The following is a 14,245-nucleotide window of genomic DNA, read 5'->3' on the forward strand; positions in this document are numbered from 1 at the left end:
CGCTCGCATAGATGAGCCTGGGGCTGAGCCACCAGGAGCTGTGCTGTGCCTCAGCTCCCCTTCCTGGGGCCAAAGGGATGAGTTATCTAGGGTTGGGGGGAGTCAGGGGTCTGGGCAGGGATCAAGCAGGAGAGCAATATGGGAACAGAGAACAGAACTGCATTCATCTAGATTTCTGACGCTTTGACACCAGGGGTCTTGCTGACTGCCCCTTCCAGGGTTAGCCAATTCCTAAAAATAGTAAATGAGGCTGGGTGCGGTGGCTCATGCCTGTCATCTGTCATCACAGCACTGTGGGAGGCCAAGGGGTTTGAGACCAGCCTGGGCAACATGATGAAACCCCATCTCTACAAAAAATACAAAAATTAGCTGGGCATGGCGACACAAGCCTGTATTCCCAGCTACCCGAGAAGCTGAGATGGGAGGATCACTTCAGCCCAGGAGGTCAAGGCTGCAGTGAGCCATGATCTCTCCACTGCACTCCCGCCTAGGTGACAGAGCCAGACTATGTCTCAAAAACAAATAAACAAACAAACAAACAAAAGATAGCAAATGACTCACCTGGGAACGTGCCTTTCATGTGCAAACCAACCAATCCAAAGCCCTCAGCCTATCACCTCCTCTATCAGACTTTCACACTCTGAGCCACTAGCCCGTTGCCCTAATCGCGCCAGCTCCTGGGCCCAGAAAACTAGAGACAGCTCTCATCACCCCAGAGCCTTCAGAAATTGCTCAAACCAGTCAGCCCAAGCCTGCCCACCCTGCCTTGCCCATTTCCACAGAAACTAGAACAAAGGTGCTTGCTCACATTTTCCCTTCGCTCCCTCTGCCTTCAGACCAACCCTGGTACTTCCTGGCATGGCCTGCCCTGTCTCCTGCTTTGGGGGAACTGTGAGTAAACAGTTCCTCTTGCCTGACAGTCATTTCTGCATCTGCACATCTTATCATACCCGAGTAAATCAAAATCCTGGTACCCTACTAACAGGAAGCCACCCCATTGTAGGCTTTCCAGATGAAGCAGGCTCAGGAGAATAAGAAACTTTTCTCCCAACTCCCAGACACCCCCTTTTTTTTGAGTCAGAGTCTTGCTCTGTCACCCAGGCTGGAGTGCAGTGGCACAATCTTGGTGAAGCTTCCCCTTTGAATGAGGCTTCAGATTTGATTGTCTCACTAGATTGGACAATGAATTACTGACATGAGACTCTCCTGGAAACTAGTATTTTTAGAAGACTTTTTGTTCTTGAAAAATAAGAGGGCCTGGAAAAGCTACAGTACCCGTCTGAGTCTGCAAGTTTCTGGGAAGAAACAGTAAGTTTGAAGGATACAGTGGGTGGAAAGAATCAAGTTGTTTTCAGCTTGAATCATTTTGAGTCAGTTTATTGAAGGCTCTGGTTACATAACAAAAATGCACAAATATATCACCATCAGGTTATGTGAGAAAGGAAGTTCTTACTGACAATGTAATATTTTAAGTAATGATATATTTCAGAACATTCCAGAGAAAAGCATTTTGAGAAACAGTTGTTTGTAGTGACGTTTTAAAGTACAATCTCACACTAGTAGTGAATTTATTAACCTTGGTAGTATGAAAAAATGTCTTCTCTTTTCTCTAGTTATAGGTATAACTAGAATTGAAAATTTCTCTGAAAAATGCCTGAATTAGAGGCCTGACTACATATTGAAAGCCTTGAAATATCCGTCAACCTTCAGTTCCTTTTCTGGCAATTGCTCTTAACAAAATAATTGAAAAGATGCAAAAAAATATTTACTGTAAGGATGTTTATTGAAGTATTGTTTATAGTGCTATAAATTGGAATCATCCTCAATTTTCAATAACAGAATGTCAGATAAATAAATCATGGTGCATTCATCCCAAAGGAATGCTGTCCTGTTATGTAAAATGATGTTGTTGATCAGTGTTTTTCAAAATTTTTAAATTATTGTCTCTCTAAAGAGCCTGGTTTAGTCTGTTCTCACGCTGCTAATAAAGACATACCAGAGACTGGGTAATTTATAAAGGTAAGAGGTTTAATGGACTCACAGTTCCACATGGCTGGGGAGGCCTCACAATCATGGTGGAAGACAAATGAGGAGCAAAGTCACATCTTACAAGGCAGCAAGCAAAGACAGCTTGTGCAGGGCAACTCCCCTTTATAAAACCATCAGACCTTGTGAGACTTACTCACTGTCAGGAGTCAGGACAGGAAAGACCCACCCCTATGATTCAATTACCTCCTACCAGGCCCCTCCCATAACATATGGGAATTATGGGAGCTACAATTCAAGATAAATTTGGGTGAGGACACAGCCAAACCACATCCGAGCCTTTTCAGACTCTTTTTTTCCCTAATTGTCACCCACCAACCCCTTCTTCCCCATGAAATTTTAAGACCACAAATATATATCTGTTACGTACTATGGCCCTTTGGAGGAGTCACAGATCATTGTAATATCTAAGTTTTTTCACCCCAAAGAACCCATTTTTTCCAACTTGGGGATGATATGAAACCCATTGAGAATGCATGTTGTTGATGAATATTGACATGGAAAAACATTCATGATATTTTGGGAAGTAAAAAAAACTAGAACACACAAAATAATCTGTTTTCACTTATTTGTAAATAGGTATAGAAAAACTTATAGAAGTTTCTATATAAATATATTAATACTGGTTATCTCTGGGTGGAAATTAGACCTAGTATATATTAATCTCCTATTATATGTGGGTACTTTTCATGTCATTTAACACTTATAATAATGCTGTGAGAAGCTGGAGACCTACTGGGAGACCAGTGTCGGGTAGCGAGCACCGTGTTTGGCATAAATTGACATTTAGTAAATGGTAGCTATTTTTATTATTATCTTAGAGGTTATCTTTAAGAGACAGAATATGTTTTTAATTAATATGGCAAAGATGAAATGGTATGATGACCCATGGGGCCAGATTGCCCAGGTTCAAATCTTTGCTCTGTTGGCTAAGTGGCCTTGGAGAGTCACTTAACCTCTGGCATTCAGCTTCCTCACTCATTAAGTGACTATGATGACAGTAATTATAGCTACTCACAGGGTTGTGAAAATTACATACATTAGTCCTTATAAATGCTTGGAATAGCATCTGGAATATAACTAGCAGTCAATAAATGTTAGCTTTTTATTCTTACTTAGTCTTTGCAATGAATCTGTGAGGGAATATAATAATTTCCATTTTCCAGATGAGAAAATTGAAGCTCAGAGAAGTTGAATAATGGAATGATTGCTGAGGGTCAGGACCTCAGAAAAGGATGAGACACCAGGTGTCCAGAAGTAAGGCAAAGGACCCAGCAGTTGGGTCATAAGAAGTGAAAAGGTACCAGAGATGAGTTTTTGCATTTCCTTTCCGTGTCTATAGTGGATATTGCCTACATGTATGTATAATATATATTTCACGTATCCACATACACATCTGCCATGTGCTCTGCATGGTCCCTCCAGGAGACCACAGATGAACAATAGGATTGGGGAAATTATGTGACCTTGGGGTTGAATTCTGTCTCTGATGCTCCCTGGTTAAGTGGCCCTAAAGGATACATCCTTTCTCTGAGCCCTAGTTTCCTTACTTGTCAAAAAGGTGATATGATATCCACCTCCTGAAGTTAGCAAAAATTAATAAGAACATAAAAACAGCCACCATGTAAAGAGTTCCAGGCATGCAAAAGGTACCATGCAAGCTATTTTACATGAATAACACAATAGACCCTAAAAAAATACTACTTTCCCTTTCCAGCATCTTTCCTTGCCCCAGTTGAATGACTCATATTGCATGATAATGAATAATTCTTGCCTAATGCTAATCAAGGAGATACTTTATTTATTTGCTGTTCACCCAATAGGTCCTTGCTGAGTTGCCTCCAGGTGCCTGTACTTGGCCAGGCTTGGGGACGGTAAGAGGAAAAACATCTCATCCAGCTTTGGAGCAGTGTTTGGTCTAGTGAAAGGAACAGTAACATAAGTCACTAGAGTATAATGTGATGCAACATGCCATGTGATAGTCATATGATATATTTAAGTGGCTTTAATAACATTTGATTTCAGCTACAAACTCTCCTGAATAAGCCTGACCTCTTTCTGCCTTCCACTGACAAAGGATACTATATTACTCCGTTTTCAAATTGCTATAAAGATACTACTAGAGACTGGGTAATTTATAAAGAAAAGAGGTTTAAGTGACTCACAGTTCCGCATAACTGAGGAGACCTCAGGAAACTTACAATCATAGTGGAAGGGAAGCAGGCACAACTTACATGGTGGCAGGCAAGACAGCATGTGAAGGAGGAACTGTTAAACACTTATAAAATCATCAGATCTCATGAGAACTCACTATCACAAGAACAGTATGGAGGAAACCACCCCCATGATCCAATCACCTCCCACCAGGTTGACACATGGAGATTATGGGGATTACAATTTGAGAGGAGATATGGGTGGGGACACAGAGCCGAACCATATCAGATACTGTCTCTGAGATTTGCAACTATTGCTAGGGATCATTAGCACTTGCTGGTCTCATTTTCTAGGAAGCTCTTGTTCCAATAAATTGCAGTTGTTCTCTTCCCTCCAACCTCTCTGTTACAGACACAGAAAACAGTGTCATATTTCTCCTGCAAGTGACTTCCTTTCCCTTCTTTACAACCTTTCTCAAGGGCTAGAAACTCTAGAAACCGTAAATTAGGTTAAACAAATCCAGAACACAGCACTTCAAGGGCTGAGAAAGTGGTCCAACAAATCTCTTCAGATTTACAATACATATCTGCCCCCAGGTTGACTAAAAAGAATGAAAAATTTGCAGCTAAAATTTAGTTAGGTAAAAAGAAGACATGCTATGACCAAAGGCTTTAAACAATGGAGAGGGTTATCTTCCTTACAGAAATTCCCTGGAATGATGAAGTAAGAGTTGCTTCCAATAAATAAAGAAATGTACAACTTAACTTTTTCAATATCTCCCTTCTCCAACTTAATGGGGAGGCATAGACCGATAACGCTCAGTTCATACAAGTATTTATTGAGCATCTACTCTGCCAGGGTCTGGCACCTGAAACACATCAGTGAAACAAAATCTTCAAAACCCCTGCCCTTGTTGGGCTTACATTTCTAGTTGGAGGAAGCAGACATAAACTTAATAATAGGTAAAGCTATCTTAAAATGTAGTAATCGCTACAGAAAGAATGGAAATAGGGCTAGCTGGGGCAGGGGGAATAGGGAAATTTTAATTTTAAATGGAGTAGTCAGAGTAGGTTTTACTGAGGTGCTATTTAAGCAAAGACCTGAATTAGGTGAAGGACAAAGTTTTGTTAGCAGCTGAGGCAATGAGATCCAGGCAGATAGAACAGCCTTATGAAAGCTCTGAGGTTAGAATGTCCCCAGTGAGTTTGACAGGTCATCCATGTTGTTGAAGATTGATGCAGAGGGAGACAGATGTTGTTCCAATTTATCATTTATCGTTGTGGGTTCCAGTTTATCCTGCTTTCTTCCACTTCAGGTCCAGTCCTTCTCAACTACCTGTCCAGGTGACCTACAACAACTTCAGGTCCACCACCAGATGCCAAGCCAATAGCTTTTCATAAACTTCTCCAGCACCCCCGACACCTAGATAGGTTCTAATCCTTGCAATAGTTCCCTCATTTCCTACCACTCATAGTGGTTCTGATCTTCTGATTGAACCCTAAGCAATACTACATCCAAGTGAGATGTCAGGTAGGTAGCTAGATATAAGAGTCTCAAGTTCAAGGGAAAGTTTCCAGCTGGATGTATAAAATTGAGAGTTATCAACATATAACTGGTATTTAAGGATATGAGGCTGGATTGTGTCACCCAAAGAGAGAGCAATATAAGTGGAAGGAAGAAGAGGTATAAGAACCACGCCCTGGAGCACCTGTAGTAAAGAAGTCAGGGAAGAAACAGCTAAAGAGACTGAGAAAGAACAGCCAATGAGGTAGAAGGAAAACAGAAGAGTACAGAAAATGTAAAGGGAAGAAAGTGTATCAAGGAGGATGCAGTGATCACTTGGGCCAAATGCTGCCAATTGTTGAGTAAGACTGAGAACTGATCATTACGTTTAGTAATACCAAGGTTATTATTGATATTTTCAAGAGCGGTTTGCTGAAGTGGTATGAATAAAAGTCTGATTGCAGTAGACTTCAAGAAGAGATAGGATGAGGATTGGAGAAGATCATTCTTTTGAGAAATTTGTAAAGAAAATCAGAGAACTGGTGAGGAAAAAATGAGGTCAATTCAGAGTTGTCTTTTTAAAACAAGAGAAATAAAGCCTGTTTCCTCTTGGGAAGGATTCAGTAAAGAAGTGTAATAGTGGTGAAATTGGAGAGGAGGAGGATAATTTCTGGGGAAATATCTTTAAGTGGTGATAGGTGATGGGATCTACTTCACGTGCACAGGTGTTAGGCTTAGATAGAAGCACGGGGACCTCCTGGAGCAAGGAGTGTGGGTTCACATCTTACTGGTTAGATGAGTAGAAGGATTTCAGAAGGTCTCTGCTAATGGCCTCAGTTTTCCAGTAAGATAGAAAACAAAGCCATCAACTGAGAGACAGCTTAGGGGAAAAAATGTAGGTTTTAAGAGAGAAGCAAAGGCGCAAAATAGTTCCCTAGGAGAGTAGGAGAATATGTGAAGTAGGGAAATATAGTATAATGACCGGCAGTATTAAAGGCCTGCTTGAGGATTGTGGTCATGAATTTAAAGTGAGACCATGTAGTATGAGTATGTGTGAGTCAGGCTCAGCGGCACAGATGCAGGAGCAGAGCAGAGCAATGCGAGTGTTCAGCCAGACTTATGATTTTCACAAATAAGGCGAATAAAGAGAAGAATATGCAAGTGAGGAGGAGGCTTTATGCAAAGGAGTGATTGTAACAACTAGCCATAGAATTTTAATTGGGTAAATGGGGGGAACGACTAGATGGGAATGAATAAAGAAAAGAACAGGTGATAAAATCAATGGAATGGAGGTCTCACTGGGGGGTCTTCATTTTGGAATGAAGGTGCTAGACGGACTGAACTGGAAACATAGGAGGTAGAGGTTGGAGAATGGGATGTGTGAGATGCACGGAGGTCTGGATTTGTTGGTAACAATATGGAAGTGAACAGCTGAGATAGGGCTGAGGACAAGATCAGTAACTAAAGGTACTGACAAACCAGGATATTGCAAGAATCACATATGCATATATTGACATCAAAAAGAAGTAATGTGGGGAAAGTGCTGAAAAGAGTGATAGTGATTCAGGAGCTAAAAGTGATCCAAAAACTGGGGAGCTTGACTGTTCTGATAAGCTCCCATTCACTCCACTGATGAAAGAGGGCTCTCCTGCCTTAAATAGTATGAGGTACCTGAACACCAGATACCTAGCATTGGACAGATGGGATTGGCAGCACTTTATTAGTCACGTATACTCACAGCCCTGGACACTGCATGCCTTCCAGAACAGGGCCACACAGGGGTCCAACTCAGGAATTGAGTGAACCAGTAGAGACTGTGGGAGGCAGGCTTTGTAGTAACAGAAGGATGAGGTGCCCCTTTGTTCTCATGGGAGGACGTAACTGGCTTATTTGAATCACTCACAGGCTATCAGGAAAATGAAACTTGTGAGGTTGAACAGGTGGAGTGGAGCTGTTTGGCTGGTAAGGGAACTAGAGAGATGGGGAAGCTTTCCCACTGTGGGAGGGGTATATCTGGTGAAAGCAGGGTCATTCATGGTCAGGCCTTTGGGGCCCTGTGAGATTCAGAGACGTCAAGGTAGCACTTGAAATTTTACCTTACAATATACTTGACCCAGGTTGATGACTTCAGCAACGAGAGGTAGTGGGTGACATAGTCTGATGGTATGGGATTCAAAGCAGTATGACGGCATGGACTTCAAAAGTGGGAGATCTTAGGGTAAAAGAGAAAGTGTGCAACAAGTAATGAGGGCAACAGAGGACACCTTCCCCACCCACAAAGTGAGAGAGGTGCAGGAGAAGCAGAGCCCTCGAAGGAGATGCAGATTTCAGTTAAGCAGTGAAAGGAGCATTCAGAAGAACACTGTGAGCATATGGAGAAGTCAGCTGATGATGAATTGTGAGTTCCAGGGGCACATAGTAGAAGGATTTTAGGAGTTTGGGAGAATGAAAGATGAGGGGAGAGAGAGATGTGCAAAACTATATGGTGAGCAGTTACAGGAGATAACTGGTGACCCAGGGGTCTGGGGCTTCCCATGATGACAGACACAAATAAGGATGAAAGATCCAGTGAGGTTGGGCATAAAGGTTTCAAGGTGAATACTGATGACAAAGCTGACTATTTAATGGATAGGGAGAAAGAGACAGAGTGTGGTCGGCTCTGTCCCTTATTATTTATTAAATCTTGAATTAATACTTGGGCTTCACTCTCTCTGTGTGTGAAATGAGGGAGTTGGAATAGAAGATTTCATAGATACCTTTTAGCCCATAATATAAGATTTTAGGTCTGGCTCAGTGGCTCACACCTGTAATCCCAGCACTTTGGGAGGCTGAGGCAGGTGGATCACCTGAGGTCAGGAGTTCGAGACCAGCCTGGCCAACATGGTAAAACCTAGTCTCTACTAAAAATACAAAAATTAGCTGGGCATGATGGCACTCGCCTGTAATCCCAGCTACTTGGGAGGCTGAGGCATGATAATTGTTTGAACCCAGGAAGCAGAGTTTGCAGTGAGCCGAGATTGTGCCACTGCACTCCAGCCTGGCGGATAGAGGGAGGGTTCCTAAAAAAAAAAAATACTTTAGGCAGAGTTTGCACAGCCACGGTATTGGGAGAATGACTTGCTCAATCTGGTGTAGCACTATTAGGCCACCATGGCTATGCTTAGCCCGCCCAGTATGTAATGCACATACTTTCTGTTAGCAAAGCCAAGTCAGAGTCATTCAGGGCCGTTCCTTCCTTTCAACTTGCCTCATTTTGCTTCTGACTCTTTTATTACCAACTTTACTTCTGGCTTCCAACTTCTCTCCTTGCCTTGATCGTTGGGTTTTCTGCACACATCTGTCTTCCCTGCTATGATTGTAATGCTCCAGGGTTCTGATACCCCACTTGAGTCTTCATCTCAACCTTGTTGGATCCAACTCAGATTCACCCCAGAAAACCTCAGTTCCTCCACAGCCAAGACACTCCCTAGCCCAGCTTGGGCAAGGCTAACCCAGTTACCGCATTCTTAAATCTCCCTGGCTGACCTGTATTTGTTTACAAAGGGAAGGAAGTCTCTCTTTCTCCAAACACAGACACCCTTTACAAAGCACAAGCAGGGAGATTCTGTTCATGAATATCCTGAGAGACAGGGTGTAAGCCCTGCAGCAGAAGCAGCCCTGGTCTCAAAGGCAGGCTTAGTTCAAAGACTTTTCTCTCCTTCTCTTGAGCCAGTGCTTTTCCTTCCAACAGCCTGCTGATGCAAGGAGTGGTTCCTCAGCTAGCAAGTCTGCATAATATTGCCGGAAGTTCACAGGCTTTCTCAGACCCATCCAAAGATGGATCCTTTAAAATCCCAGAGACATCTTACAGTTTCTCTGATTGGGCCAGAATTTCTTCATGGGGATTTCATGTTCTCCTTTTTGGAGAGAAGATGAGCACCCAAAAGAGGGTGGAGAGGCTCCATTCCTTTCCCCATCTCAGGAAAATGAAATTCCAAGGGCAGAGATCAGGGGGGAAATCACATCTTGATCGTTGGCAAAACGGAAACTATTAGGCTTAGCATATCCTGTTTTGAGTAAGGAAAAAAATAAAATTCTCTATTCCACACCCCACCTACCCCTCCCCCCCAAAAAAATCCTATCCTCATGACTGAAGGAGTTATTCTGAGAAGCTTATCTTTTCATATCTACAAAAGTACATCAAATATTCCCCAGACAGTCCTACCACCTCATCACCTCCAACCTTGCCAGCTCACACTCATTTTTAAAATCTCACTCCTAGCTTATATCCTGCCCATTAACAGAATTGTGATTATGGAATTAGGCTGAAACAGTGTCTACATTCCACACAATCTCTAACACACTGATACTTGGTCATTGTTATTAATGACATTAATTGTAACATTTATTCTCCTTAAGAATGTATAGCATGACATGAGGTTGCATGCTTTCTAATCTTTTTTTTCTAATTATTTATAAACGTTCACATTCTGTGTGGTCATCAGTTGTCTTCAAAGGAAACACTGACATTTTCTGTTAGCAATTGCTCTGCATGGAATTGGTTATCTAATATGTCTGGTTAACAAGCCTCTCTTTGACATTTAATAAGCTGCAATGATTTCACATTCAGGTAGTTCCCTGTTTACTTGAGGGCAAAGGGCTGTATAGAAGCTAAGTTAGGGGATTTGATTACAAAAACAAAGATTTTTTTTATGGATAAGAGGAAAGTAAAAGTTCTTTTTTTCTAACTCTGTCTTTCGAAGTTTCATTGTCCAGCCTTTCTTTGGAAACACATGGCATCTTAATACTTTTACCGGTCACAGTTTTCTTTGAAATGCATTTGTCATCAACTCAATGCTTTCGCCATGACTCCATCTCTGTAACCATGAGATATTAAATGAAGGGCAAAGAGCAAAGTTTCAATTCCATTTTATTAAAACAGAACTAGATCTTCTGAATCAAGATAAACTTGAGTTTTCTATTTAAAAAAAAAATTATCCCTCAGTGTATGTTCATGAAGACTGTGTATCCAACCAGCCAATATTTCAGAATATATTGAAAGAAAAGCATAATTCACAGGTCATTAAGCTGCCTAAATCCTCAAATACTGTGCCACTGGTCATTTGATTTTATGCTTGAGTAGGTTTAGATGGTGAAACAAATATTTTCCTGATTCTCCTGCCTCCAAAGGAAAACATGCCCCAAAGCCGCCTAGCAAAATACCCCAAATTACCTCTGCTATTATGCAAGAATTCCTATCTTTGCAGTTATGGATAAAACAAAGACGGAATTTTGAAGGACCCAAACACTTTCTCCTAAAATATATTCTTGCTAGTATTCCGCTTCAGATGAAAGTTCAAATCCTAAGCAGTGACTTACCAGGCTTGCATCTCTCAGCTCCTTGAAGAGGTTCTGCTTTGGTTTTGAGGGGTTATGTCTGAAACTTAAAATATAAAATGCTTTCAGTTAAGCTGCCTGGCATGATCGACTTTGTTTATTCCAGTCATTCCATTCCAGTGAAAATTTCAATCCCTTCTCCCTGTAAAATCTTCAAATTATTTTCTTCCTCATCCTCCTTCTCTCCTAGACTCCAAGCCATGGATGAAAAAACACACGATCTTGGCTCACTTGCTAAGGAAAAGGTGTAAAATGTACATGTAATCAAGCAAATGAGGAATTGACAGTTGAAAAATGATTTAAAATTCTTCAAATAGATATAGCTAACCCTGTTAGCTCTCTGCTTATATATATTTGGTAAGAGAATAAGCTTTTTCAGCACAGGAATGATATAAGGGCAGGAAGGGACACTTCTGCAAGTCAAACAGAGAGAGAGAAGAGGAGAGGATTCGAAAAGGTGCCAGAGGGTAATTGGACTCTGGCTCTGACAGTTGATCCAAAGCACGCTACAGGAAGCACACTGGTTAGCTAAAGTTAGAGAAACAGTGGCCTCTGATGGAGCCCCAGATGTCACACCAATTACACATGGTACAGAAACTTGCAGTTTATTTTGACAGTCATTCAAGTTAAAACATGAGATGAGAAGTTTGCAACAGAAAAGCCATCTTGGGCCTAATTATTTCATTTATATAAACAAGGTCAAAAGGTCTCATTTTATTATTATCTTCTGTCCTTCCTTCCCAGCACTGTTTATTTTCCACCTCCTATTTTAAAGGTGCAAACATATTCTAACAAGGTTCATCTTTAAAAATTTTGTATCAAAATGGAAACTTTTGTTTTCTGGCTCCCTCTATGTTGATATAAGCAAACAATCTTACAGTGTTTATTTTGATAATCAGTATTGAGCAAATATCTTACAACTGGGAAAAATCCTCCTGCTCTGTAGAGAGCAGTTTTGCCCACTGGTCACATACAATATAGGCTAGAATTACAGACACTGGGTAGTGAGAAAGTCAAGTTCTTCCTCTAAGCACTATGTTCATTTATTTTCTTTTTTTTTCTTTTTCTTTTTTTTCTTATTTTAAGTTCTAGGGTACATGTGCACAACATGCAGGTTTGTTACAGAGATATACATGTCCCATGTTGGTGTGCTGCACCTGTTAACTCGTCATTTACATTAGGTATATCTCCTAACGCTATCCCTCCCAGCTCCCCTGACTTTTGGGTATACCCACATGTGCTAATTTCCTCGGCTGTACTCATATTTGTAAAAATGGCAGAAAAGAAAATAAACGGTATTTCTCTGGGTATACCCAAAGACTAATGACAAGCTGATCCTCAAAAAAACCAGACAGAAAGACTGAGCCCTTGATACAGAATTTTTCTTGGCCCTTTGTCGGACTTGCAGCAGGGGGAGCCTCATCTACTTGGCCCACGTGCTCAGCCCCTGGTGGGAGGGAGCATGTGAGTAAGCAAGTGCAGGGTCCAGTGGGCTGCTTTGAGTGCTGACACAGGAGCAAACTCCATGCAGGGCCTGCGGCCAGACCAGGCATGTCACCCTGAGGGGAATGCAGCAGCTCCCAGGCAGGGGTGCCCGTGATTCCAAAGCCCCAGAGGAGGTGTTAGTTTGCTAATTAGCTCTTTTAGTTCTGCCATCCGCAGCTCAATAGACTGCGGTGTATTAGCAAGCTCAGTTGGCCCCTTGACTTGTTCTGGCCCACGGCTCTGGGACTGTCTTAGCTCTGCCACTGCTTCTGTTGTGTGGGGTGGCTGCCCTCCACCAGCAAGGGCAAAGGGCAAGTGTTACAGCCCTACTGGGTACCCCTGCTTGGTGGGTCCTGAGCTCTTGTCCAGCGTCCAAGAAGAATGAGGTCATGCTGACTATTGAAAGGTGATGAGAGCAGAGAATTTTAATGAGTCACAAATCAGCTCTCAGCAGAGAGGGGAACTGGAGAGGGTTGGGAAGGTCAGGTTGTCTTTGCCAAAGTCAGGTCATCTCTTCTTGATGTGGCTGAATCTGGGGCTAGGGGTGTGCATGCTGATTGGTGTGTGAGTATGGAAAAAAAAGGTTAAAACAAAGGCACCAGTAAAAGGTGGGCACAGCGTAAAAACAATTAGGGAAGGGTAGGTATATGTAAAATCGTTGAAGTTTGGGGCTCACTCAAAGGAAAGCATGCCAAATGGAAGACAGTTTCTCAATCCGGTCTGTGGATTTGGCTTGTAGCTTGGCCTTCAGGCTTTAAGTCATTTTTGACTTGAAGGTGGGGTTTCACTGGGGACCTGACCACCCCTGTCTACCTAGGATTTCTCTGCTTTCTGCCTCTATCACCCTGATTCTTTCCAGATTTGGTATTTATTGGGTTTGCAGAGACCTCTAGTGTGCTTCATCTAGTGATAAGGTGGGGTAACACCCAGAACAGACAGTGATGGTGAACTTGGGCAAGGCCAGTGCAAATTGCAGGGAGGAAAAAAAAACATCTGGGGGGAGTTTCCTGAACTTTGAATAGCAAATATTTGGTGGAATAACAACAATAACACACAAGTAAAAGTAAAATAAAATCAAAGATAATTAAAGTGGAAGGCTCTATTTACCAGAAACTTACCTGTTAAAGATAGTTTCCATGGTTTTCATTTTAAGTAATAGTGAAAAATCGTGAAAAATACATTTAGCAAGAAACTGAGTCACGGGCAGTTTTGCTATTCCATATTCCCTCAAATGAGCAGCCCTGTTGTCTTATATTATCTGCTCTCTAAGCACAAAACTGAATTACCATGAATCAATATCAAGATATTAAGATAATTATTCTGTTGAGTTTCTATTATTATTCTCCTCAAGCATACATTTGTGGTCTCATTTCCTAGACATATTTTATGTGGTTTTATATAACTTCATGAAAAATTCTCAACACATGGATGTTTCATAATGTCACTGGATGGTGGATTTTCCTTTATGCCTCAATACACATTCATTGAAAACATTGTGCAGTCCTAATGGAAAACCAAGAGGAATCCTAGCAAAGGTCTCCTTGAAGTTAGCAAACCTAATGAAATATTTTGTGCAATAAAACATTGTTTTCATTTGTGACATAAATTCATTCTTATCTACTTCCTGAGTTGATTTTGTATTTATTGGAGCTATAAACAGCTCCCAAAACTCAGCCTACTT

At 41.6% G+C, this 14,245-nt stretch overlaps 1 long non-coding RNA gene across 1 annotated transcript in view; it reads right to left on the bottom strand.

Moving 5' to 3' along the window:
• The window catches only part of LOC100128993 (uncharacterized), a 61,849-nt gene that overhangs the window by 32,433 nt on the left and 15,171 nt on the right, over window positions 1-14,245 (bottom strand). The window contains exon 3 of the long non-coding RNA NR_038919.1: window positions 11,062-11,125. This is a non-coding gene — a long non-coding RNA (uncharacterized LOC100128993). The remainder of the gene's footprint in view (window positions 1-11,061; window positions 11,126-14,245) is intronic.

The sequence above is a fragment of the Homo sapiens genome, chromosome 8 (genome assembly GCF_000001405.40).
Source record: "Homo sapiens chromosome 8, GRCh38.p14 Primary Assembly".
In the NCBI taxonomy this organism is placed as follows: Eukaryota; Metazoa; Chordata; class Mammalia; order Primates; family Hominidae; genus Homo; species Homo sapiens.